This window comes from Homo sapiens, chromosome X (genome assembly GCF_000001405.40).
Source record: "Homo sapiens chromosome X, GRCh38.p14 Primary Assembly".
Classification (NCBI taxonomy): Eukaryota; Metazoa; Chordata; class Mammalia; order Primates; family Hominidae; genus Homo; species Homo sapiens.
Genome location: NC_000023.11, coordinates 107,744,715 through 107,769,978, shown reverse-complemented (window position 1 = coordinate 107,769,978; position 25,264 = coordinate 107,744,715). Strand labels below are relative to the sequence as shown.

General features: G+C 47.2%; 1 protein-coding gene across 3 annotated transcripts in view, besides 2 other annotated features; it reads left to right on the top strand.

Annotated features, from left to right (window-relative positions):
- The window catches only part of TSC22D3 (TSC22 domain family member 3), a 62,768-nt gene that overhangs the window by 6,010 nt on the left and 31,494 nt on the right, over nucleotides 1–25,264 (top strand). The window lies entirely within an intron of this gene.
- Nucleotides 18,833–19,684: an enhancer, noted in NCBI's record as "H3K27ac-H3K4me1 hESC enhancer chrX:106993525-106994376 (GRCh37/hg19 assembly coordinates)". NCBI's record gives its function as "activates a minimal SCP1, AML or CMV promoter by ChIP-STARR-seq in naive and primed H9 embryonic stem cells {active_cell/tissue: H9 hESC(naive and primed)}" and the evidence as "EXISTENCE:reporter gene assay evidence [ECO:0000049][PMID:30033119]".
- Nucleotides 19,685–20,537: an enhancer, noted in NCBI's record as "H3K27ac-H3K4me1 hESC enhancer chrX:106992672-106993524 (GRCh37/hg19 assembly coordinates)". NCBI's record gives its function as "activates a minimal SCP1, AML or CMV promoter by ChIP-STARR-seq in naive H9 embryonic stem cells {active_cell/tissue: H9 hESC(naive)}" and the evidence as "EXISTENCE:reporter gene assay evidence [ECO:0000049][PMID:30033119]".

The following is a 25,264-nucleotide window of genomic DNA, read 5'->3' as shown; positions in this document are numbered from 1 at the left end:
GTGGTCTGACAAAGAATAGGCATTCTTGGATTAAGGGACCTTCTCCATTAAAAGCACAAATGCATTTGCAAACTTAACATTCATGGTTTGGATACTTCATGAGAACTCAGACTGGTAAGAAACTGTGTTTTTGCTGAGGCACAGATGTGAATCACATGTGCAAGGAGACTAGTAGGTGGGGGCCGGTCCTTTCACCAATGAGTGAGCCTGGTGCCCTACCCCACATCTACTAGTGTGTGTGTGTGTGTGTGTGTGTGTGTGTGAAAGAGAAAGAGAGAGATGTATTATATGCATATATTGTACATAGTACATATATATATATAGTGGTAAAATAGATATAAAATTTGCCATTTTAACCATTTCTAAGTGTACGATTCAGTAGCATTAGGTATATTAACAATGTTGTGCAACCATTATCATTCCCAAAATTTTGTCATCATCCCAAACAAAAACTCTGTACCCATTAAAGAATAACTCACCGTTTCCCTATTTTCCCCTCCCACTACCCCCTGGTAACCTCTATTCTACTTTCTGTCTCTATGGATTTGCCTATTTAGATATTTCATATAAATTGAATCATACAATATTTTGTGTCTGATTTCTTTCACTCAACATGTTTTAAAGTTCATCCATGTTGTAGCACATATCAGTACTTCATTCTTTTTATGGCTGAATAAAATTCCATTGTATGGATATACCTCTTTTGCTTATCCATTCATCTGTCAGTGGACACTTAGGTTGTTGCCCTCTTTTGGCTATTATGAAGAATGCTGCTATGAACACTGGTGTACAAGTATCTGTTCAAGTCCCTGCTTTTAATTCTTTGGGGTATATACCTAGGAGTGGCATTGCCCAGCACCTACTTTTCAACACAATTTTGTGGTCTACTGCTCGTAGTCAACACATACGTAGGAACCTGTCATAAAATGAGCAAATGTCTCAGGGCATTCCTTGAGGAGAATGCTCCCTCTCTAAGCCAGCTGCTGGTGCTAGTGATTACAACGAAGAGAAAGCTACAAAGTTTGGCAAAGTGATGGTGCTGCCTGGGAATGGACTTTTTATGGGGGAAATGACATGCTTTGGAGATTGCATCCATGAGTTGGAGACTGGCAAAAGTTTTAGTGTGTATCTCTCATGAATGGCCAAGGTCTAGCATACCTTTTTAAAGAGTAACATGTGACACCATTACTTGCCATTAACTACTTTGTATGGATTTGTTTATCAGACCTCTGGTCATGGTGACAGCCCACTGGGAATAGGGTCCTATGGGACTGGAATGTGGCAAAGCCAACTTTGGAGGAGAGAGGTAGAGAGATGGGGCTGGAGTCCATGGAAGGCCTAGCTTGGGCTGTTACAGCACGGGGCCTGGACAGCATGAGAGTTCAAAAGATCTGTTTGGAAAGTTCATGCTCTTAAAGAAAGGTGGGAAGCACAGAGCTTGAATTTCATCTACTCCTCAGTTTTTGCCAGGAGTGGACTATTATTTACTGAGTCCACACCTCAGCAAATAATGCTTTCCAGGGTGACCTTAGTTTTCTTCCCTGCCTGAAGAGAAGGTTAACACTCCTGCTTATATTTGCACTTGCAGATAATCCAACAAGCTCTCCATTCCAGGTAGAGGGTTGGCTCCTTTCCAGATCAGGTACTGAAGGCCAGGGAGTCTGGGTAAAATGGAGATGGATGTATCTGGCCAAGACTGCCAAGACCTCTAGGCATCCCGGGTGATGGAACCCTGCAGAGTTCTTGCCCCCACCTGGTGGGTGGGTTGGTTGGGAGGAATGAGTTTGGCCATGTCTGCACCTGGTGGTGGCTGTTGCGCTGTTTGCTCATCGTGATTCTGCTCCTACCTGAACTTTCTCTTCTTCTTATGTAAGCCATCCCTAGAGATAACTGTAAAGCCATAATCTGCCATGGCTGGCTGGGCTTATATAACAAATTGGTTGGTATCGTGCAATAGCCTCTTGAACCCTGGAGAAACCAATGTGCTAAGTTGAGACTAAAACATGGGTTCATTTGATGGGGTATTTTGTGTGCTCAGTGAACTCAGGGGAGAGGAGTCCATGACCACAGGGGTCAGAAAGATGAAATTTCCTTTTAAATAAAGAGAACAATAATGGCCCAGAACATACTGTGCTGTCCCAAAGTCTGCAATAATGGGACAAGGGTTAGGGCATTGCTGTAGCACCACAGCTTTGGCAGAAAAGGCCCTCCACAGAACCCCATGGGCTAGGAGGAGCCCCATGAAGGCCAGAAGGCTAGATCCCAGTTTCAGGGCAACCTAGGTTTGATGAAGAGTCAGGTCAGGGAAAATGTCTTTTGGAGGCCACTGTCTACCATGCTGAAATCCAGCTTAACTAGAGTTGGAGTGGGGCTAAGATGCGATCTGTGAGAGCAGAAAGCAAGCTTTTCTCGATTCTATTCCAGGCAGGAGGGAATTTCATCAGTAGGCAAGGCAAGTTCACTTGTACCTTCTAGCTGAAAATTCCTGCCCCAAAGTAGCTGTGGCCCTTCTGGAAACTGTATAAGAGGCATTAAGATCCCAGCCAGCACAGAAGACTGAATGGGAAGCTTCCCATTGTGCAGACACTAGCCCGAGGGAAAACAAGAGCTGGAAGCAGGCTGGATCACTGATGATCCAGGCTCACCATTGGCCTTCCTCTCCTGGGAGCCACTTTCCTCAAATAGGTCCAGCCAGAAATCGGGCCCCTGCCTATGGACAGAGCACACAGGGACCTTCCCCATCCTTCCTCGAAGGAAGACTTTACTCACAGAATAGGCTTGAGTATTCAACCCACTTCTTCTAATCTTCTCTTCAGGGGAGATGGAGAGCAGCTGTTCACAGCTTAGGGGTCTGGCCAGGATTCCCGCTCCGTGCTATCTAGGCTGGTGATTGGCTAGAGCTATCCCTAAGGAAGAAGGGGGTGAGAAGTGAGAGGAAAGGAAGCGACTCCAGCAGCTCCTTCCTGGCTTACCCCACTCCCAAGACACCCCTCCTTCAGCGCTGCCGTTTAGCCTCACTCCCAGACTAGGCTGGGCCTAGGCCAGCCTGAGGGCCCTGACTCATAACTAGCACATCTTATGTAACAGCCAGGTTACTGAGGCATCACACTTCTGCTTGCTCAGTGGTAGGCTTCCCTGGGGACAGGCATTTGGAAGCCTGCTGGGGGTCCAAGTCAAGCTCATCATACTTCCCAAGGAAAAGCCTACTCTCCCCAGTGTCAGGCAAGCAGTCTGCTCAGAGGCAAATGCCAGGCAGCAAAGCCTGACCCGGTCCCACACTCAGCCTCCACACTCAGCAGTAAATGTAAGCAGACAGGCAAGCTGGAGTGGACTTAATTTGGCTTGAGGCATTTTGGAGGTGGCAGGGAGGAACCTACTATCACCTGATAATGCACTGCTAAAGAAACTGCGTGGTGCATGGAGAGGCCCCAGAACAGGTCGCAGAAGTCCCTCTTCCTTTTGTATCTGCTTGTTGGTTCAGAAACTACTGGGTGGGTTGGGGTGGGGGGAGTTGTTGGGGGGGGGGCGGAAACTCCAGGCTGACTGACACCAGGTGAAAGGGTTTACCGGAAGGTGGAGGAGCTGTTTAAAGGAAGGCCTTTCAAGAGCCAATTCCCAGTCCACGCTCCATGAAGTCTCAAAGTCCCCAGGTTGACCTGAATTCACAGTGATTCTTAGCTCTCTGCCTGGCCTATTCAGAAAATTACATTACCGGCTTAGTGGAACTGAGCCCCCAGTGAAGTCAGTATTGCCAGATTCTATGACAGATTTCTCTAATAACAAATGTGACTATCTACAGCACAGAATACCCCCATCAATCTAATATTCCACTAGCTCAAGGTTTGTAACTAAACCAATAGCTCCTCTTCTTCTCTTCCTTTGTCTTTTCCCCAGCCTGTCTCACGTGTGTTGCCATCAAGTAAATGGCTCACAGGCTGTGAGTAGGTGGGGACACTGCTCTCCACTCCAAGAAATAGAGGAGAAACAGGGAAACAAAGTCAAAAAGGTGGTGTGGGAATTACCAGCAGGCATGATTTGTATCCAAAGCTGACTCATAAGTTCTTGGACAAGCTCAAGACTACCATCTCAGGGCTCAGAAGAGCTTGGCACCCTTAGTCCCCCAGATCACAGAATCCAGTGAAAATTAGGGGACCTGAGATGGAGATGCAGAATTTTCCTTTGTGGGACTCCTCCCAGGCTTCCAGCCCCTTTCTTCTCCCTATCCCCTCTGCCTTTTTGGTTCATAGGCTGTAGCAGTAAAAAAGAAAAAGAAACAAAGAAAACAAAACAAAGAAATAATAAATAATAAGAAAAAGAACTGCTCAGTTTTAAGGCAACATAATCTGCCTGCCCAGGTGCACAGAGAAATGAATGATGGCAGCACCTCATTCGGCCTTGTACCAAAGCGACCAAGCACTTCAATTAATCAATCCATCATTTATTGACCAAGGGCCTGCTATGTATTGAGTACCGACTGAGGATTTATTGAATGCCTATCCTGCTAATCACTGTAGAGGACACAGGAGACGTCAGAGTCTAGGACCAGGGCTCTGAGGAGCTGAGGGTATAGCAGGAAGGAGTGGAGCAGCTGCACCCAAGGCCAGTGGGGAACAAAGCACTGGCGTGACCTCAGGCCTTTGCAAACCTGGTCCAGCCTCCTGCTCCTTAAGGGAAAGGCCTTAAGCTTACTGCTCCTGGGGTCTGCAGGTCTGGAGCTTGGATGGTGCCAAAGCAAACTAGGAAGGGAGAGTCTCTTTATGGCGGCCGCTTCCAGCAGGGCCTGAAAGAATGGGTTGGCTTTGGCACGATGGAAAGCAGCAGGGCTTTCAGATTGGGAGAGGGGAGGAGAACCTCGCTAGTCCAGCAGGGCTCTTGAGTAGGAAGGGGATGGCCTGGTGTGGGGACACTTTTGATTCCTTCTGGGCTGGAACCCGGAGTCACCATTGATTCAGGAACAAGAGAGAAAGGCCCACTCTGGCCCTCCCCTCATTGCCCCTCTCTGACACAGGGCAAACTGGACCCTAGCACCCTCTCCTTGGGAACCTAGGCTAGCCCTGGGGAGGCAGAGGCCTTCGGGGCCTGGGAGTAGGGAGGCACCTCCCTCTTATCCTGGAGAAAGCCCAGCAGAACAAGAAGAGTTGAGCAGGGTAGAACCAAGGGGTGCAGTCGAGGGTGGGCACCAGAGGAGCCTGGGGGCTGTGGCTTCCTATCTGTGCATCTCTGGCTTCAGTCTCCACGAGGTCCCTTCTGAGGTGGGTAACAGAAGCAGGGGTGTGTCAAGGTGCTACCACGAGAATATATAGATAATCCACCCAAGTCTCTCTGGAAAAAAAAGTTGCTGATGGCCCTGCAGGGTGGCATTTTAACCTTGTTTGCACCTTGGTCAAACCTGTTTCCCAGATACCCTATAAATGAAAGCCTCAGGGTAAGGTTGAGAAAGGTAAGAAGCCTCAAGCTGACAGGAAGGGAGACAGAACCAGGGTGGAAAAAGAAAGCAGTCTCAGGTAAACTGGGGAAGAAAGGTGTTGTTCATGGTCAACGTTCCATCCTCACTCTCTGGGACCCTCTCCCCAAGTTAGTGTCTTGGACACACCTGTGCCCACATCCTTTCCCACCAGTACTCTGGAGAATTCATGTTTAAGTTCATGAATACCTTCAGTCAATAACAAATATTCATTGCACACTTTCATGTGCCAGACTTGGTGGCAGGTACTGGGGATATAATGGGAAACACACGAAAGCTGTCATAGAACAGTCAACGGAGTGGGGGAGACAGGCATTAACCAGATAGTCATGCTAATGAAGCATAGTTACAAACTAGATGCCAAGAGAGAAAAGGAATAGACTTCTGTCAAAGAGTCTAACAAAAGGTCAGAAAAGCCTTCCTGGAGAAGTTATATTTGAGCTAAAGAAATGAGTCTCTAGCACTGAAATTCTAATAATCAGACCCAGGCCAAAGGTGATATTTTCAGATAGAAGACTTTCTGAGTAACCACTGAAGCCATACCATGTAGGTAATTCTCACACCCCTGGAAGTATCTCTAGGCCATGAGTAGCCAGCAGGTCCCAAAGGGGAGGACTGACAGTTTTCTGACAAGAGGAAGAGATGAGTTTGAAGCTCATGGGGTAACTAGTATTTAATGTCATCCTTTGCTAAAAATAGTCCATGACAGTAGGAAATGTGTAAAGGCTAGCCCTGGGGACCAGTGATAAAGTGGGTATAGCCTGTGGGAAGGAAAATTTGTTTTTGTAAATTATTTACTGTAAAGGAAAAAGAAATGGGGGGTTGTCTGGGTTTTCTTTTCCCTTTGCGGGCTTCCTTCTGAGTTATGAATGCTTCTCATTGTACAGAGGCAGTGGGGCACAGAGCTTCAGGCTGCACTCCTTTCTGGGGCCCAAGGTGTAAATTTTCTGGGCTGCAAATATCAGATATTTGTCCAGGCTGAAAAACAGCCTGAATGCAGAAGGGGAGGGAGGCTAGACTTTCTTCTGGGAAGGACAAATAAACTGATCAAGGGGCCCCAAAGAGTGTTCATTTGAGAGAGGTAGCCTGTCTCTCAAATGGTGGGTATCACCTGCCCTCCACAATGGCAAGGCAGGTGATAGCTAACAGCCCAGTGTGATCCAAGGGAATCTGATTGTGAAGTGTCAGGAAAAGGCCAACAGGACTTGTTTAGCCAACAGGAGGCAAACATGAGACTCTAGGGACCTGTGGTGCAAAGCTAAAGGAACTAAGATTATTGATCTACAAGAAGTTTAAGGGTGGGGTGGAAGGTGGTAGAGAGCAAGAAGAGAGGTCAGTCTTCAAATATAAGAAAAGTACAGGTCGGGCGCAGTGGCTCACGCCTGTAATCCCAGCACTTCGGGAGGCCAAGGCTGGTGGATCATGAGGTCAAGAGTTCGAGACCAGCCTGGCCAACATGGAGAAACCCTGTCTCTACTAAAAATACAAAAATTAGCTGGGTGTGGTGGTGGGCACTTGTAATCCCAGATACTCAGGAGGCTGAGGCAGAAGAATTGCTTGAACTGGGGAGGCGGAGGTTGCAGTGATCCGAGATCGTGCCATTGCACTCCAGCCTGGGCAACAAGAGCAAGACTCCATCTCAGAAAAAAAAAAAAAAAAAAAAAAAAAGTACATGTGCAGGTTTTTTTTTTTTTAAAGCAAATATAAGAAAAGTCACAACTCAGAGATGGTGACTAGCTGTTTCCCAACCACACTGGGAAGAGAACAAGAGGAAACAGGCCTACATTGTAGCATGAAGAATTGAGATTAGATAGCAGAAAGAACTTCCTGACTACAAGCATTCAGAGGAGGTGGACAAAATTACCAAGGGATGTTGTATGTAGTTTATACATATGGGGAAGCTGATGACAGTAGAGATAAAGAATTGGATAAAAGTGTGAGAGTCCTGGTTTTATAAGGACCATGGTCAGAAGTGGACAGACAGGTGGGGAAAGCAAAGGGGTCAGGACCAGGTGCTTATAAGAAAAAAGAAAGTGTATGTGTGAAAGGTGAAGGTGTTTTCATGAAAATACTTTTATAATAAAAATGTCAATGAAATTTCCATTGGAGATAAGTCAGTAAAACTAGCATACATTCTCCTGTAACTGGAATAGTGTGGGAGAATGGACTGAGGAGCTGGTAGGGCCCCTTCTATCATCCTTCAGCTCTCTTGTCTCCTGGATAAATTAGTCTCAAGGGGGCCCCCCATCTTCTACATTTTAACAATTTTAGAGCACACTCCTCTGCAGGGGGCATTGGAGTAAGGCCGCCCACCCCAAGTACTTGTTGCAGAGGAGAATGTTTTCCTCTTCATGCACACAAACAAGATTAGATATAGGGGATACAAACTGAATACAAGGGGTACAGTGGCGAACAACAAACCATGCAGGATCCCTGCCACAGGAAACTTACAATTTGGTGGTGGAGACAGGCATCAAATAGTAATTACACAAATAGCAACATCATTACAATTGATGGTAATGAAGGAAAAGTGCAGGAAGTCAGGAGAACACAGGCTAACGGGACTTCACCCAGAATTAGAAAATCCACAAAAGAAAATTCATTATGTAAAGACATGGGGCACTGCAAGTGCCCCGCTGTGAGTGATTCTTGCCCAAAAATCAGTAGCAGAAAGGCAAAATGAACCCAGTCACTGCTAATGCCCTAAGATGTGGATTTTGAAGCTCCTCCAGCTCACTGAAGCCCTGTCAGATTAGGAGCAGGGAAATTTTCTCACTGCCAAGATCAGGCAGGCTTGATTTAGGCGAGTGACTCTCCAAAGGTCATAATGGCTCATCAGCTGAAAATCAGGATCAGGAAGACTGTGAAGAGCTCATCACTTGCCAGGTGTATAGGATCAGCTGAAAATCAGGATCAGGAAGACTGTGAAGAGCTCATCACTTGCCAGGTGTATAGGATGGAGGTCAGTGAAGAGAAGAAAGAACTAATGCGTGAAAATTGCACTTGAAATTGACCCCCAGCAGTGGCCATGTCTCCAAAATTCTATGTCCTCCATCTCCTCTTTAAATGTGGGAGGCTTTCCTGGTATATTCTAGTATTAGCTGCAAGGTGTGCCCCAGGGCCTTTGAGCAGGAGCCCAGTCCTGGGGAGCCAGGATCCTAGAGAGATGGGGTCCCAGTCTGTTTTTCCCTGTCCCTCTTTCAGAGGGGCAGGAAGTTCTAGCCCTTGTGGGGAGCTAGGATGGGCTTCTCTGCCCTCACAAGGCCCTGGAGAGGCCACCAAGGAGCAGAGGACATTAGCCAGTATGTGATCATGAAGCACAGGCGCTTTGCGTCTAATAGACAACCACCTTGGCAAATGACAATCTCTCTAGACCTCAGTTTCCACCACTAGAAATTGGTGGTGGTGTGGTTGGGAAAGTGAAGTGAGAGGACACTCCTAGAAAGCACTGAGTGTCTCTTTATTAGCATTAGCCAAGTCAAATGTGGTACCAGAACAAAACCTTATCTGGCTGGCCTTGCCTCCCTCTCTCACAAAATCCTTCTCTCACCAGTCCTCTTCTTGCTCTGTCACTCACATACCCTTTTCTGCTCAGAGCCAGATGACACCTGAAACCCAGCCTGGCAAGCTTTCTCCCTGTCAAGGCTTGCTCTCTCAACTTTCTTCATTCACACACAGGTATAAATGACTGAGAACACTTCTGGTTTCCCTTCTTCAGGGAGGGGAGAGCAGGGAACTGTGAAGAACTTTGAAATTTTTACCAGAGATCAAAACCCACAGAAAGCATGAAGTTGCCCTACTGGCATTGATAGCAACTGGGGAAGATCTCAGAGGACAATGGGCCTGGGGACGTTCTCTTCAAGCTCCTGAGCCCCTCCCTTTTCAGGGTTGGTGACCACACCTTGTACCTCCACGTGCATCTTAGATGGAGACACAGAGGCTCAGAACTGGTAGGAGTTTTCTCAGCCATCTGCCTGACCCTTTCCCATTACAGATGAGGAAACTGAGGCCCAATGTGGGGTGGGTACCTGCCCCAAACCAAACAGCCAATTAGTGACCAGCTGCAAAGGGAAACCATGTCTCCTGATTTTCTGATCCAATGATCTTCCGACTTCTCGTCTCTAGACGGCTGTGCAGCATCCCATCCCAGTAGGTACACAACATCTCCATGCCAGGAGACCAGCTTTGGGTACACCTGATGCCAAAAATGGTGATTTTTTTAAATTTGATTTTGTTTAATAGAATTGACCAATGATTTGGGTGTTATGAAGCTCCAGCCCTGGAATCTTGCTTCTGCTCAGGCTGGGGCTGCATGCCACAGCCACAGTCATGCAAGGGGGACAGAAAGGCTTGCTGTTCGGGTTGGAAAAGAAATCAGTTGCTGAAACATTGGTCTTTTTGAAAGTTCCAACCACAGGGGCTGGCTGGCAGAGCCGCCGTCTGGGCTCTCCCGGAGGATCCGGCCCTCCCCTTCAGTCTGGGAGTTAGTTTAGGAAGCTGGCCCGGTCTCGGCAGAAGATCCCGAGGGCAGCACTTGCCCCAGGAGCTCCAGGCTTCCCTCAGGGCCTGGGAGCTCCTGAAGACACTCAGGACCGTGAATTTCCTCCCGCCCCCACAGCCGAGCCAGCCCAGGCTGGCCCTGAGGCTCCTTGAGCACTTTTTATTCTAAGCCTAGAGTTTCCAGTTGTCCCACCCTAGCCCGGCAGCTACAGAGAAAGGGAGAGAACGCAGGCAAGAGAGGAGAGAGCCAGAGCGTGAGAGTGCACTGTACTAAAAGAAAGGAGAGAAGCATCCCCAGCCAGGTAATCAAGGCTTGGGCAGCTGTGAGATGAAGGTGGAAAGGCTGGAGGAGCCCCAGCTCGTGGAGGAACCCCAACTCGGGGAGGACCCAGAGCTTGGGGAGGAGGCACAGTTCCTGGAGGAGCTACAGCTCGAGGTGGTAGAAAGTGGGTCAGATTTGGATCCAGAAGATTTGGGTTCGAGTCCAGACTTTGCCACCAATCTGATGCTTGAGCTTGAGTAAGTAACTCCTGCCCTTCTGTGGGCTGCTTTGCCTACTTACAAAATGGGGGAGGGGAGAGACAAGATGGTCTCTAGGGTCTCTTTCAACGCAGATATTCTGGAAGACTATGTTTCTAAAGTCTTGATATGTGAGAATGGGATGCATGGAAACTTGAATGAATAAGTCACTGAACCCCAGAATGTCAGAATGGTATTGGGCAGGGAGAGGGAGTTCACATAAGACAAAAAAAAGAGAATGAGAAGGTAGTACCTGGATAAGAGTCATGACCCCAAGAGGGGGTCCCAGCTGAACAGAACATTGAGGTCGATTTTCAAAACTCAAGGATGGGCCGGGCACAGTGGCTCACGTCTGTAATCCCAGCACTTTAGGAGGCCAAGGCGGGTGGACCACCTGAAGTCAGGAGTTTGATGAAACCTGTCTCTACTAAAAAAGAAAATGCAACAACTAGCCAGGCGTGGTGGCCTGTACCTGTAATCCCAGCTACTTGGGAGGCTGAGGCAAGAGAATCACTTGAACCCCGGAGGCGGAGGTTGCAGTGAGCCGAGACTGCGCCACTGCACTCCAGCCTGTGCGACAGAGCGAGACTCCATCTCAAAAAAAGAAAAAAAAAAATCAAGGATGATGGGCTTGGAACGGATTAGTAACAAGAATCTGGGTGTTTGGAGGTGTCATTAATGTGCAGTTGTTAATAAGCTCCTTAACCACATGTCTCCCAGTGATCCCATGTGCCCCAAAATGCCAGCACTGAACGCACAATGCATTTCTTGAGTTCTTTACGTGTGTGTTTGCAGAAATTCTCTATTGAATTGTGAGGGATTTTCAGATAGTGATGTCCAGATCTAAAAAGCGAATCTACAAAGAGAGACTGGTCTGGCCCTCTTTCTGAAAACCTCCTTTCTTGGTAAATCCCCACTCTCACCAGGCCCACTGTTGCATGACTCAGTGCAGGTCCCTTTGAGAATCTGACTGCTGCTATATACAGCTACTCTCCCCCAAATAATGCACAGATGAGCTACCAAAAGCCAATCTGCTTGGTGGGTGTTGATATCTGGTACATTTCACTGCATTAAAATTCCATCAAAATCAGTCATCCCTCTCTGGATTACATGGTGAGAGTCTCTTAAGCCATAACAGGTGACGTTCCATTAACCAGAGAGTGCCTTTCCAGGCCAGGCATGATATCTCAGGGCTCCCTATATCACAGATCATCTACAATGTGCTCCGCCAACCACATAACCACCAGTATCTACACTGCTGGGCAAAGTGTGATGGTGAGAGTGAGTAGACGAAGAACCTCCCTCCACCTGTCCAGACACCTGCCCACAGCCCTAGTGTGCTCACTACTGCACAGTCTCCTCCCTCCCTGCTAGCCCTCCTTCTTCTTGGCTCTGTTCATTCTTTCAACAATAATTTCTTGGGTGACTTCTGGCCACTCAGTTAATCTTTTGTTGTTGTTTTGTTTGTTTGAGACAGGGTCTTGCTTTGTCACCCAGGCTGGAGTGCAGTGGTGCAATCTCAGATCACTGCAGCCTCCACCTCCCGGGCTCAAGCAGCTTCCCCAGTAGCTGGGACTGTGCATCACAACACCTGGCTAATTTTTTTGTGTGTATTTTTTGTAGAGACAGAGTTTCACCATGTTGCCCAGGCTGGAAGTTAATCTTAATCAATTATAGATTCCTAAAGGAGGGGCTCTTAGAATTCCCTCAGGACAATGGTTTTCAAAGAACCCTTAGGGTCCTCCTTGGCGCCTTAGGGGCTGTGGGAACGGGAGGGGAAAGGGGGAAAGGGAAGAGAGTGTGGGGTAAGAGAGCAGAGGCAAGGGTGAATATGAGGGAGGGAAGGGGAGGGGGAGAGTGTGTGGAGGACAAAAAGAAAGAGGAGAGGTAGATTGTGCCACAGCCCTCACCAAATATGGGCTACATCTGGAAACAAGGTTGCAAATAAGAATCTATATGTTTCTTTTAAAGTTTGTAGTGTTTTGTTCATCACCTGGCTTGTATCTCCTCACCAGAGAATTTTCAAGCTAAGTTCCTCCTAACTAGAAGGCATCTCCAAGTGGGTGATGGATGTTCAGGGGAGACCTGTGGGCTGGGTGGGTGGAGCTCCTGGCCTCAGCCCTGCCTCCCTCAGAGCAGTTCCACTCCTTTAAGGACTCTGTATCCAGAGACCCTGTGACCTCCCACATTAGACCGGGGAGTGGGGTAGGGATTAGGGATGATTATCTGTTAAACAACAACAACAAAATATGTTGTAAGCCACAGAAGGATGTTAACTTCCCAGCTGCTACAAGAATCTCTTCTAAAGCACTCCCAGAGGGTGGACACGCTGCCTCAGCTCGAAGGCAATCTACATACAAGCCACTTCCCTTGTTGGTTGGCCCTGATTGTTAGACTGTCCGTCTGTTTAGTCAAAATCAGCACACATCTTGCCCACAGAATGCTTTGGTCCCTCCTCTCTTGTTCCCACTGAAGGCCTCTTTTGTCTCCTGAACACCGGGGAACAGATTCTAGAAGGAGAGGAGTGGCCCCTGGCTTCCCCGGGAAGACTGAGTTCCCAGCTGGGGGCACCACGTGCTCCAAGGGGCCTATGTGAGCTCTGCGTGGACAGGCAGGTTACTGATGTGGGCATGGGGCACTCCAGCTGATGCAGCCCCTGGGGCTAAAGCAGAGGAAGTCCACTCCACAGAGGGCACTGGTCGACTTGAGTGAAGTCCAGTGTGGAATTCTCGGCAAGGGAAATAGCTCGAGGGAAGGAACACTTGACCAGGAATAAGGGCCTTGTGTTCTGTTGCAAACCCCAGCCTTGGCTGGGGCTGTCACCTGAAAGGAGAAAAATAATAACGGCCGGTGCCCTGGCCCTGAGAGGAAGGAGGGAGGGAGGCAGGCTCAGGACTGTATCCTGGCCATTTGCAGCAGTCTAAAGCCCAGCCCGCTTTACATTGGAGAAGGAAATAAAGCCGTGCTTGTTGGCGGTGGGGACCATCTGTGTGCACTATACAGAGAGCACTGTTTCCCCAAATGTGGTAAACATACACTGGTGGTGTGCAAGATGATTTTAGGTGGTACGTGGACTAACTTTGTTTTTCTATTTTTATAGCTATTTATTTATTTAACATGTATTGGGGGAATATACAGCTAACACATCCACTCCATGGTCTCAAAAAATATTATTTCTAAGGATGAGGCATTTCTTAAAAAGGGAATCTGCTTAAAGTTAATTTACAGTAAATATTAAGTAAACAACAATACTCAGATATGGCAAAAAATCTTGATAGTGGTAGACAAGTAACGGTAGACAAGTAACTGGAGTCAAGAACATGCTACTACACTGTGTGTTAGCAGACGTGTGACATGTGACAAGAGGGGCCAGAAGATATGTAACAGGAGCCGTACAGTATGGTTTGAGATGGTCTTTTCCATGTATACCTAGCTTGAAGTCCCCCTCTGACAGCCTTCTTCCAAGTGTAAGAGCAACCTGCTATTTTTATATCCCCAGTGTCCTGCTCTGCCCCATGACACTCAACACTCCAGATTAGCAGCAGGCCTTTCCCTTGGTTGAAAGCACTGTCTCTACCACGTTCCTGGCAGACATGGGGAAATAGGCACTGGAGAATTGCTGGGTCTGTCCTCACCAGCCTCCATTGATTTCTTCTTGGCATTGTTCACGGGCTTTATTCAACCCAAATTAAGGGAGGTATTTCCAGGAAGCAAGTCAAGAGGTTATAATATTTCTCTGAATGCACAAAGTCACAGTAGAAGGACAGGAAATATGTCACTGTGGCAATTTCACATGGACTTGCTCTGATTTCCTGACAGATTCGGATAAGATTTGGTGGGAAATGTGTACGAAATCAGACTATACAAGAGAGTTCCCACTTCTACCAGGAGTTTATGATAGGCTGCGTGTAAATATGTTTGGTCCACTTCTTTCCATTCCCTGTGATACAAAACATGATTATTAGTCCTGCTTCCTCCTAGGGCTCACCTTGTGGATTTCACGAAGGCAAGCCCTGGAGAGAAGCAGAAAGACGATGAAGGTTCTGGGTCTGGTCTCCTGCCTTCTGTCTGGGTTACACCTCAGGAGCCTTGTGTGTCTTTCCTATGTTGGCCAGTCCCTTGAACAGTTTTTAGCAAAAGCCTCAAGCAGAGACAGTTGATCTTCAAACACCTCCAAGAAAGGAAATACCACAAAGTCCTTTGTTCATACATTCCAGTGTTTAACAACTTCTGCTCTCTGACATTATTCCTCCTAATTCTGTCCTCCAGCTTTCCTATGCTTAATAAATTTAATATGCTTAAATTGTAGTTATCCCATCCCTTGTCGGTCTTACTTTCCAAATTAGCTAAATCCATTTTTTTAAAGAAAAAAGTTTGAACTTTCATTTCTCCATCTTTTAGATAATGTCCAAGTTATCCACCAGAGATTTCATTCTGTCCTCTGTAACAGCTGAGATTGTGGCATGAAAACCTTTGCCCTTAGCCAGTCACCCAAATCCATCCTCTGATCAGTGACACACATTTGCAAGATAGCAGGTTAGGAAAGGAGCAAAATTAACCCATTTAGGCCTGGTGTTCCATTATTGGAACGCTAAGCTTGTGGGAGTTATTTATATCCTACTGCTCAAGGTTATCGCCAAGGTCTGATTTTTCACGAAAAAAAATTTGCAATCTCTGTCATAAATGGGTTAACTGAACTGCAGAGGACGCAATCACCTGCCCTAACCCCCAAGCTAGCTGTTTTACAGGAAACTGTAGCTGTGTAAGATTTCATTAGTGGCCAATGACCATGGAATAGAGAAGGAAGACGACTTCATAGTTCCTACAAGCTTCTTTCCTATTTAGAGCATCCAGGGTCATGCTTGTTCCTTAATGATACTAAATTGTGTGCTAGCAACTCATTGCAGCCTCTGCTCTTAGCTGCCTACCCACATAGCCCCATTCTTGTATCTGGGTAGAGTTTTGATTATTCCTATATTCATTATCCATTTTGTGGATTATCTATAGCAATCACAAAATTCCAGGCTGCCCCCCACCGACCTTCTAGCTAGTTTCTGGGAACTCTGGGGTGCAGGATCACTTTGATACCAGCCCAAGTAGTGCATAAAGAAAGTTTTTTCAAAAATAAATTACCCACTCACAAATGGATTCCAAATCCAAGTATGGCTGAGTTTCACATGGCTAGGGTAACATAGGACATGTGGCATGGATAATCCAAAATAAGAGATAATGTAGGAGAAACATCATGTCTAGCTAGCTTTGAAATTGCACCATGATAGGCCAGGCGCGGTGGCTCACGCTTGTAATCCCAGCATTTGAGAGGCCGAGGTGGGAAGATCATGAGGTCAAGAGTTCGAGACCAGCATGGCCAACATAGTGAAATCCCCGTCTCTACTAAAAATACAAAAAAAAATTAGCTAGGCGTGGTGGCACGCTTCTGTAATCCCAGCTACTCGGGAGGCTGAGACAGGAGAATCACTTGAACCTGGGAGGCGGAGGTTGCAGTGAGCCAAGATCTCACTACTGCACTCCAGCCTGGGCAACAGAGTAAGACTCCGTCTTAAAAAAAAAAAAAAAAGGAAGAAAGAAATTGCACCATGGGTCTAACTTTTTTCAGTAGATCTGCCTTCTTAATTATTTGGGCTGATATGAAAATAAGCTTGCACCCCTGGAGTATACAGAAACTAGAAGAAACTGGATGTAGGGAGAAGCTAAGCTGAGACCAAGCATTGCCACTGCTATTTCACAAAATGGAAAAGCCACCTAGAAATACTTGGGAGTTGATTTTCAAGCATACTGAAGTCATTTCTGTGTGTCTTTGAAATATGTCATATGGTTGTGGATGCTGTGGATTTGTCCATGAAGACCTAAGGGGTCTGCGTAATGGTACCTAGTTTGACTTGGGGAGACAGATCCAAGGAGTTACCAGGAAATCGATAGTTCCCTTCTTCTTCCTAACTATAACCTGATGGCTGTATCACAATGCCTGGTCTGATCGTCTGACCCATGTGAGTCTGAAAGTGGTGGCGCAATTCATCTGAGGAAAATCACATCTGAAACAGGAAGGGGCACGGCAGCCTCTTCAGCCAAGGATTTATGTATCTGTCACAGGAGGGAAGTGTGAGCTGAGAAATGACTCCCAGAAGTGCTAGAATTGGAAGAGGCAGCACTGCTACCTATCATAGTCAGCAGTGTATTCATGGGGAATCTATGCTACCTCAGGAGGCCAGCATCCTGGCCCTTCCTCCCTTCCCTGAGTCCATCCTCCCTCCTCTCTCCTCTCTGGCTCAGCAAGCACTTAAGAAAACAGAGCTGAGCTAGCCAGGTGCACCCTGTCAGTGGCCAAGCAGTAGGTAAAGGGAAGGATAGGAGAGGCTTGTACTGCTCCTGGCCTGGCATTTAGAGGCCCAGGGGACAAGTCCCAGGCCCTTGAGCCAGCCACAGTAGGCTTGCAGCTGATGCCATGTCACCATGGCTGAAGCTAGTGGCAACCTGAGTGGATGGGGCTTCTCTGGTTCCTGCAGCCCACAGAGACCAACAAATTCACTCAGTTGGGTTCTGTCTAGACTTAATTCTTGCTGTCTTTGTGAATTGATTTTTACATTCTGGCCTGCTGTGCGTATCTTGGCTATGGGATCTCTTGCTGAGCCTGGGACAGAGTCTTTTCTTCCTGCCCCTTCTCCTCTGCAAGGCTGCCGGACCAGCTCCCTTGGCAACCTCATTAGGCTCCAGTGGTGTCCGTGGGGAATCTAAACTGGGCAGCAGTGATCCATCTTTAGGGCTCTCATCCATCCAGGTGGCTCCTAACCTCTCCAACGCAAAGGGACTCCAGCTGAAAAATCAAAACCAGCCTTCTTTGGGAGCCCCACTCATTGTTTGAGACAGGCTACGAGAAAGTCCACACCTCCAGGCATAGCTCTTTGTGCTTCCCTTCCTTGTTCTTTGTCTCCAGGGCAGGAAGCTTGGCCAAGGAGGCAGATCACCCCCCAACTCACCACCCATAACAAAGAACTAATGACTGTTTTCACCATTCCCCTCCTCTGGAAGCAAGGGATGGGTCATGCCAGGCCTTGAAGTTGAGTAGGGAAAGTGAATCCCACCCAGGCTCCAGACCTGGTTCCTCCTCACCAGCACAAAGTCCCTGTATTACGAGGGAAGAGGTTAGTATGAATTCTGGATAAATGCCTCAGTCTGGAGAGGAGATTGTGTCTCCCTTGTTGTAAACCTAGCTGCCAAATCAGAACCACTTTCAGCTTGGATAGAGGAATCAAGCTCATCCCTCAGAAAACAGATGGTGAACAGTGTAGGCTTTGTTTTTCATACTCCCTTTTCTCACTCCTTCTCCCTTCTAGCACAAGCTCTTCATGCTACCCCCCGCCGCTGCTTAGGACTCTCAACTATAGGATGATAGCTCATGTTCCAAAACTTTCCTGATCTCCTGCCTCTTAACCATGGCCTTGAGGCCTTACTTTCTGCTAATGCGAATGTGATATGATGAATCCAGCTGAGGTGTAAACAGCTTGTAGTAACTGAATGTGCTCCCCTTCCCAAGTTGCAATTTTATTTAAACCTGGGCCTTCAAAAGGAGTAAGCAAAGTGAGGATTTCAGGCTCAGCCTAGGGCAAGTAGAGTTGAGTTTTGGGGCATGGTGCCTTTGACCTTTATCCCCTCAAATCATACCACGCAGGCAGCCACCCTGTCCATCTATGTGTAAGGCCATCCCTGAAAATCTGGTTGACTTAAGTAGAGGGAACTGAGAAAATCTTGTCTAGGTGAAGTCCCCAGTTTAGCCTGCAGAGCAGTAGCTGAATTCTACCTAGGCCTAGGCCTCTGGTCCCTCCCCTGACCAGCCAGGCAGGCACTTACGGAAGATGTAGGGAAGAAACTGGAAATCCTCCCTCGTGCATACCTGACTCAGTTGACTTTTTAAATATTTGAGAACACAAGCATGAGGCAATTACTTGTAATAGCAAAACCATTCTCGGTTAAAGGGAGGAACTCCAACCACTTACAGAGTAAGGGTTACAGTCCTTCCGAATGGTCTGTTGAAAAGCTATTTTTGGCTCATTTGCTCTTCTTTCTTCCTTGAGTTCTGTTCCCCTCTAGGCCCCTCAGGAGCCTCTCTCCCCACCTCCTTCCCGGTGTCTGTACTCACACAGCTTACGCAGGGGAAGTAACCCCTCGCCAAGTGATTCTCTCATCCAACACATTTTCCGAGATGGTCCCATTGCTCCTTTGCAGAAGAAAGGGGACAAAGACTGTCTGGGTCAACATAACGACCTCTTCCCCTCCACCCAAGCACACCGGAATTCCAAATGCTCTTGTTTCCTTCGAGCACAAATGGCTTTTGCTGCTGATCCTCTGCTCTGGGTTACCCATTTCCTGCTCAGCCTTGGCACAGCAAACATGTCTCTGGAGCAGCTACCTCAGGGTAATTTGAGAAGTAGCTCTAGGCCATCACATGTGGAAAAGGAATCAGGGGAAGACACATGTGGAATAAGAATCTCCTTGAGAAAGATGCTGGGCTTTTGTAAATGGCTTTAATAATATAGAAATACCAGCAGCAGATGTTTCCAGAATGCCAGCATAATTTACTCTAAGGTGACCTTAGAATTATGATTCTATCCTCCCAGTTTCCATGACTTTAACAAAATCCCTGACACTGTGCCGTCTGCCTCAGGGAGTCAGCTACTGCCCATCTCCTGGCTATGTGAAAGTCTTGGGCATACATACCCCTATCCAGCTTGGAGCCTCCAATAAGTACCTACCTGCGGTATCTGATCAGTTTCTGCCTAGTCAGATGTGCCCTGTTGCTGAGCCTGCTTGGGTGGGGAGCATGGGAAAATGGGGCAAGTGCTTCATGAGGGAGCTGTTCTCAGCCGCCCCCTCTCCCAACTCCCCAGCTCTCTCTCCTTGTTCTGTCTCCTGTTTCTGGGCTCTAATCCTGGTCAGGCCCAATGCCCCTTGCCTGTGATGCTGGGTCTGCAGTTTTGCTCGCCGTCCTCGCTTTGCCTTCTTGCCCGCCACTTCCAGCATTCCTCCTCTGCTCAGCTTCTGAGCTGGTGTCAGGTTTCTACCTGCCTGGCCACTGAGCCCACCTGAAGATGTCTGGCCAATTCCTTTTAGCCTCTGCCTTCTCACCATGCCAGGGATGCTTATTCATGGTGGGACCACAGGTGGAAGGTGCTGCTTCAGCAGACTCACCCTAGGGAGCAACTGCTCCCCACTCCGCCACACCACCAAAAAAAAAAAAAAAACTAAGCGAGAAAGCAGGAGTATTGCTCACATCCACTTGGCCCACAGCTTTGTTTAACCCGTTTCTGAATCCACATTTTTATTATTATGTTGCTATGTTGCCCAGGCTGGAGTACAGTGGCTATTCACAGGTGCAGTCATAGCATACAATAACATCGAACTCCTGGGCTCAAGCAATCCTCCTGCCTCAGCCTCCCAAATAGCTGGGACTACAGGCACATGCCACCATGCCCCCCTTGGATCCACATTTTTAATAGGCCTTCCAGTACCGATTGCTAAAGCTGCAACCCCATTCTAGGGTAACCGGAGGATGTAGGCCTGTTGTGGGGAGACTCGATGAAGCTGCTGAGTAGGTAACTCTGTCTGCCTTTGTATAGCATTCTCTCCCTCCTTTTCTGTGCCCTGCACCCCAACTCCTCCAGCGTCGAGGCTGTGGCTGCCCCCTGGAGATGCTTGGGAGCACCAGGTGTTAAGCAAGGGCTCCTGCTCAACACTCCCAATTACAGTGTGTGCCACTGGAGTGATCTCAAGGACAAGTGGAGGATTCAGCCAGTGGGACCCCATGCCCATCACCCCAACTTCACCCTGAGTAGCTCTGCTTTTGTCTGTTTTATAAATTGGATTTTCTATGTGATATTCTATTTTAAATCTGCCAAGCATGGTGGCTCATGCCTGTAATCCCAGTGCTTTGGGAGGCCAAAGTGGGAGGGTCACTTGAAGCCAGAAGTTCAAGATCAGTTTGAGCAACTTGGCAAGACCCTGTTTCTAAAAAAAAAAAATCACTACTCTAGGCCTTTCTCTCTCCATATCAGAATTAACCACCTCCTGTCCTCCTGTCTTTTACTTTTCTTTTCTTTTCTTTTTTTGAGACAGAGTCTCGCTCTGTCACCCAGGCTGGAGTGCAATGGTGTGATCTCAGCTTACTGCAACATCTGCCTCCCAGGTTCAATCAATCTCCTGCCTCAGCTCCTGAGTAGCTGGGATTACAGGTGCCTACCACTACGCCCGGCTAATTTGTGTGTGTGTGTGTGTGTGTGTGTGTGTGTGTGTGTGTGTGTGTGTATTTTTAGTAGAGACAGGGTTTCACCATGTTGGCCAGGCTGGTCTTGAACTCCTGACATCAGGTGATACAACCGCTTCGGCCTCCCAAAATGCTGGGATCACAGGCATGAGCCACCGCACCTGACCTGTCCTGTCCTTTTCTCCTCTTCCCTCTGGCTCTGCCCTCTGCTAGCAGACGGGGTCCAGTAGGGGAGGATGCTAAGCAAATAACTGTCCCTACTACAAGCTGGCTATAGGCTGGCAATGCCAATGCCTTTACCCAATTAAGATGGTAAGCAAAGCAGACAGGTTGGCACTCTGCTTCTCACATCATGTGGCTGCCTCCCCACCCATCATTAATAATAATCCCTCGCATTTGCATAGCACTTGACAATTTCTAAAGCACTTTCACAGACTCTATCTTATTTGATCCTCTGGAAAGCCTGTGAAGGCCGCCAGGGCAGGGGCTGTTATTTACATTTTACAGACTCGGGAGACTCTTGAGATCATTTAATCGCTGGCCTTTCTGAAGAGTTTGCTAAGAGAACTAGTCGGTGTGAGCTGATGGGCTGGTTAAAGGGAACAAGAGTTGGAACAAGGGTTATAAAAGGAATGAAAGGGGAGGGAGATGAGGCAGAAGGGAGGAAGATCCCACCGTGCCCCAGATCCACCAGCCTTATTTGTGAACCATTTCAGAAGCAGTATGGAACTTTGGGAAGGGCTGACCCAAGGAGGCAGCGATTTTTCCTTCTCCATGATGGTGACTTCTGGGGCTTCTGAGCTGACCACTGGCCCTACCTTATCTCATCCCCACGCCACAAATCTGATCTTGTCACACAGCTCACTTGAGTCTCATTTCATTCTGAGGAGCAGAATTTCAAGTGCTAGAATTGGAAAGGCTCATAGAGATTATCTAGTCCAGCCCCTCATTTTCCAGAAGTGGAAATAGAAGCCCAGAGATAGAAAAAGTCTTGCCCAAGGTCACACGGAGAAGAAGCAGAGTTGGATTGAAATTCCTGTCTCTTGACTTGCAGCCCATTGAGTTTTCCACTATTTACATACAGCTCCCTCCATGTATGTGCATGTGTGAAGGGGTGTGTCCAGGGGTGTGTGTGCAGGGGTGTGAAGAAGGCCGTGGGCAGTGCCTGGAATGCCTATCTGGTGAACTGCTGTGGCCTGGACCTTGGACACATATGCAGTGGCTGAGAGTTAAAGCCACTTATAGGGCCTGGGGTATGATAGGGTATGAGAAAGACAGGGTTCAGGGTTTCTCTCCCAAGGGGATTCACCCACATAAACTGCTCCAGGTAATTAAGATCCCAGAAGAATTGGCAGCTGCTTGCTGAACAAATTAGAATCTGCCTTTATGGGCATGTTCTGTGCTGGAGATCAGAGGGCCCTCCCTGATGTTTGGTTCATTAGTCATTGTTCCCTGTCAGAGCAAGCACTCAGAAAATTGGATGTCTGGCAACAGCCTGTATTTAGAAATTCAATAGCAGAGCAGCAACGGCAACAGCCGAGTGTCTGGGACAGTGCTCCATGCACAGTAGGTGCTTGAAAAATGCTTGTTAGCTAACTAATGAACTAAGTAAAGAAAGCCTTTAGTCCTCTGTGCTATTCAGAATGAAACAGTGTCAATAACAGATCTGATTGCTTTTCAGCCAAGCCACATTTGAACTTTTTAATGGGCAGGCTAGCGGGACTGGGTAAAAACTCACTGGTCGCTAGGTTTTCTGTGCACACTGCACTGCGTAGATCACAGTGCCCACCACTTAGATGTCACACTACATTCTGCTTAGATCTGACAGACCCACTTCTCTTTCTAAGCTTCCCCATGACTTCCTTCTAGTCAAATCCAAAAGTCCTTTTCCCAGTTTTAGGAGTCTTTGGCCAGAACAGAGTAAGCCTGGCAGGGGACAAGATGTGGTCCCAGGGCGTGTGTGATAAGGGGGACTAAGCAAGCTGCAAGAGGACACACAATGGAGTGGGCTTTCACGTCAACTTTTCTTTCTTCACCATCTTGCCGCAGGCCAGGCCTGCTAATTTGGACAGATACTTTCATATTGTTCTTAACCATCAGGGAAAGATTTTGTTTTTGTTTTGTTTCTTATACTAAATGTTCTTAGTTTGGAATACCCAAGATTCCTTGCAAAGGTCAGCTAGCATAGCAGGACTAAGAGAATCTTAGAAGCTTTTGGCAGTCACTAAAGGTTACCACTGGTGTCTTGTCTATAGGCCAAGGGAGTGAACTCTGTGAGGGATTTCAAATGTCCTTGATGGACTTTTCCATCATGCTAAGAAACATTGGAAAAAGTATTTATCCAGTTCACCTAGCTGTCCAGTCACTCCTTCAAATGTAATCCACCAAGTAAGAAAGAACAAAGAATGTATTGAGCGCAGACTCCTTTTGCCTTTGTTGGGAAGGAGGACACACATGAATGTGTGTATGTGTAACTCCGTACATATGTCAGGACTTGAGTGGGTGGAAGGGACTTGAGGAGTGATGAGGGTGTACGTAAAAAAACAGCTGTTATGCTGTATGCAAAAAAGGTATGGAAAAATGTATGGTAAATATACTTATGGGGGCCTACCTGTGTTTGTGAAGGGACAGCTGGAAGTATAGCATCTGGGAGGGTTGGTGTTCTTCTGTGTGTGACTCTATCTGAGTCAAATCCTGTATATGGAAGTAGTACTCCTGGAGAGTCAGGATGACCAAGGCATATGTGAAGGAGGTATGTGTGCCTGCCTGTGTGTGCATGCATGAGTGTGTGTGTATGTCTGTGTGTGTGTGTCTGTCTGTCTTGTCTGTCTAGTGAGAGTGTATATGTCTGGACTGTCCTCAATCTTGGGCCTGCCTGGGAGAACCGTCTTGGCCCCTCTTCCCTTTTCTGCACTCCCAGACCTCCTTAGTTCTTTGCCTCTGCTTCTTCCTTCTTAGGGAGATATTTTGTACCATGTGTCCCTCCTTTCTCTGTTTCATAAGATACAGAGAGAGGTGCCCCCTCTCCCAGGCCACCTGCAGTCTCTTCCAACAAAGCGGGGGTGACTCCACCAGTGAGAATTGCAGGGCTCAATGATTGGGAAACAATCTCCAAGCCAATGAAATGTCTGCCTAAAGATTGTTCTTGGATCAATGGGAATCCTGTGGGTCACACTTGGACAGTTTAACATCATCAAGAAATGTAATATAGATATTCAATCCTAGAATTTTGGTGAATTAATTAAAGCCTTGTTTTTAGTTCTATTGAGAAGGAAAATCATTTATTTTCTTTACTCTGACCCTGTGCCTTCAAGAGAACTCTTATTCTGTGAAAATAAGGGCTGAGGTAGGCAATTCACACATACTTGTGAAATCTAAGCAGATTATCTCACCAGTGGCTATAACTGTAATAAACTAAAGTGACCTTGGTTTAAACAAACGGATGTTTGGAGCTGACAATTGAAGTGCAAACATGACCCTAATTAATGACTTGGTTAATAGTAAGTGGTTCTCTCTTTCAAGATATTAGCTAAATTCTCAGTCTTCAGCTATAATATAGGTCGCAGGCTACTTTTGTATTCTTCATGTTAGAAATTTAAAATTTCAAGCTAGTCAGTCTGTAAAGCAACTTGCAAAGCAGGAGAGAAGTACAAACTAGAGACAGTTCTGATTTGAAGGGTATTTTAGGTAAAGTATTCCTAATTATTCACAGCTCCCATCCATAAATGTGTGTCCACCACCAAAACCAGTCCCCTTGTATCTTCTCATAGGTAAACCCATAAACAAGGTATATGCTAATACACATTAATGAACAAACATGATATCTAGTTTCAAGTGATTTCCTATCAGTAACTCTCTTTGGATCTGATGTAGTCAAGTGGCCAGATTCGGGGAGACTGCCACTTCTGGAAAGGAACCTAGAAATCAGCCTAAAATCCTCTTGCCAAAGAGATGGATGAAACAGAGGAGAGGATGCTGGGATGGAATGGAATGTCCAGCTCCTAGGCTTAATGGCTGCTTGATGTGAGGCACCCCACCCTTGTCCCAACTACTTATTTGTTATTTCATCAAGATGGGACAGGGAGGGGGTGGTTAAGTCAACTCACATGCTGGCTTTGGGTGGCCCTCCCTTCAAGAATAGCTCTTTCTTTGCTGCAACGGATACATCCAGCTGCAGATTTCCGTCATCACTGGATGCACTTTGCAGATGAATTCAGAAATTATACTGGCCTCCCCAATTGTTATTACTGAGTTGAAAAAGCACCATTGAGACCATCTTCTTGCCCACACAACTGTACTGGGTGCCACAGGAGAAGGGAGGAGGGGAGCATAAAAAGAACACCAAAAGCCTGCTTCCCACCCTTCAGAAGCTTTGGGTCAAGTTAGAGAGATGGGATATACATGGAAAAAATCACTCAAGAACAATTATAAAGGAATACATCCACAGGAGCAAAATAGCACAAACCAAAATATCCTATAAAATGATGGGCTCTGGCTTTAGGAGG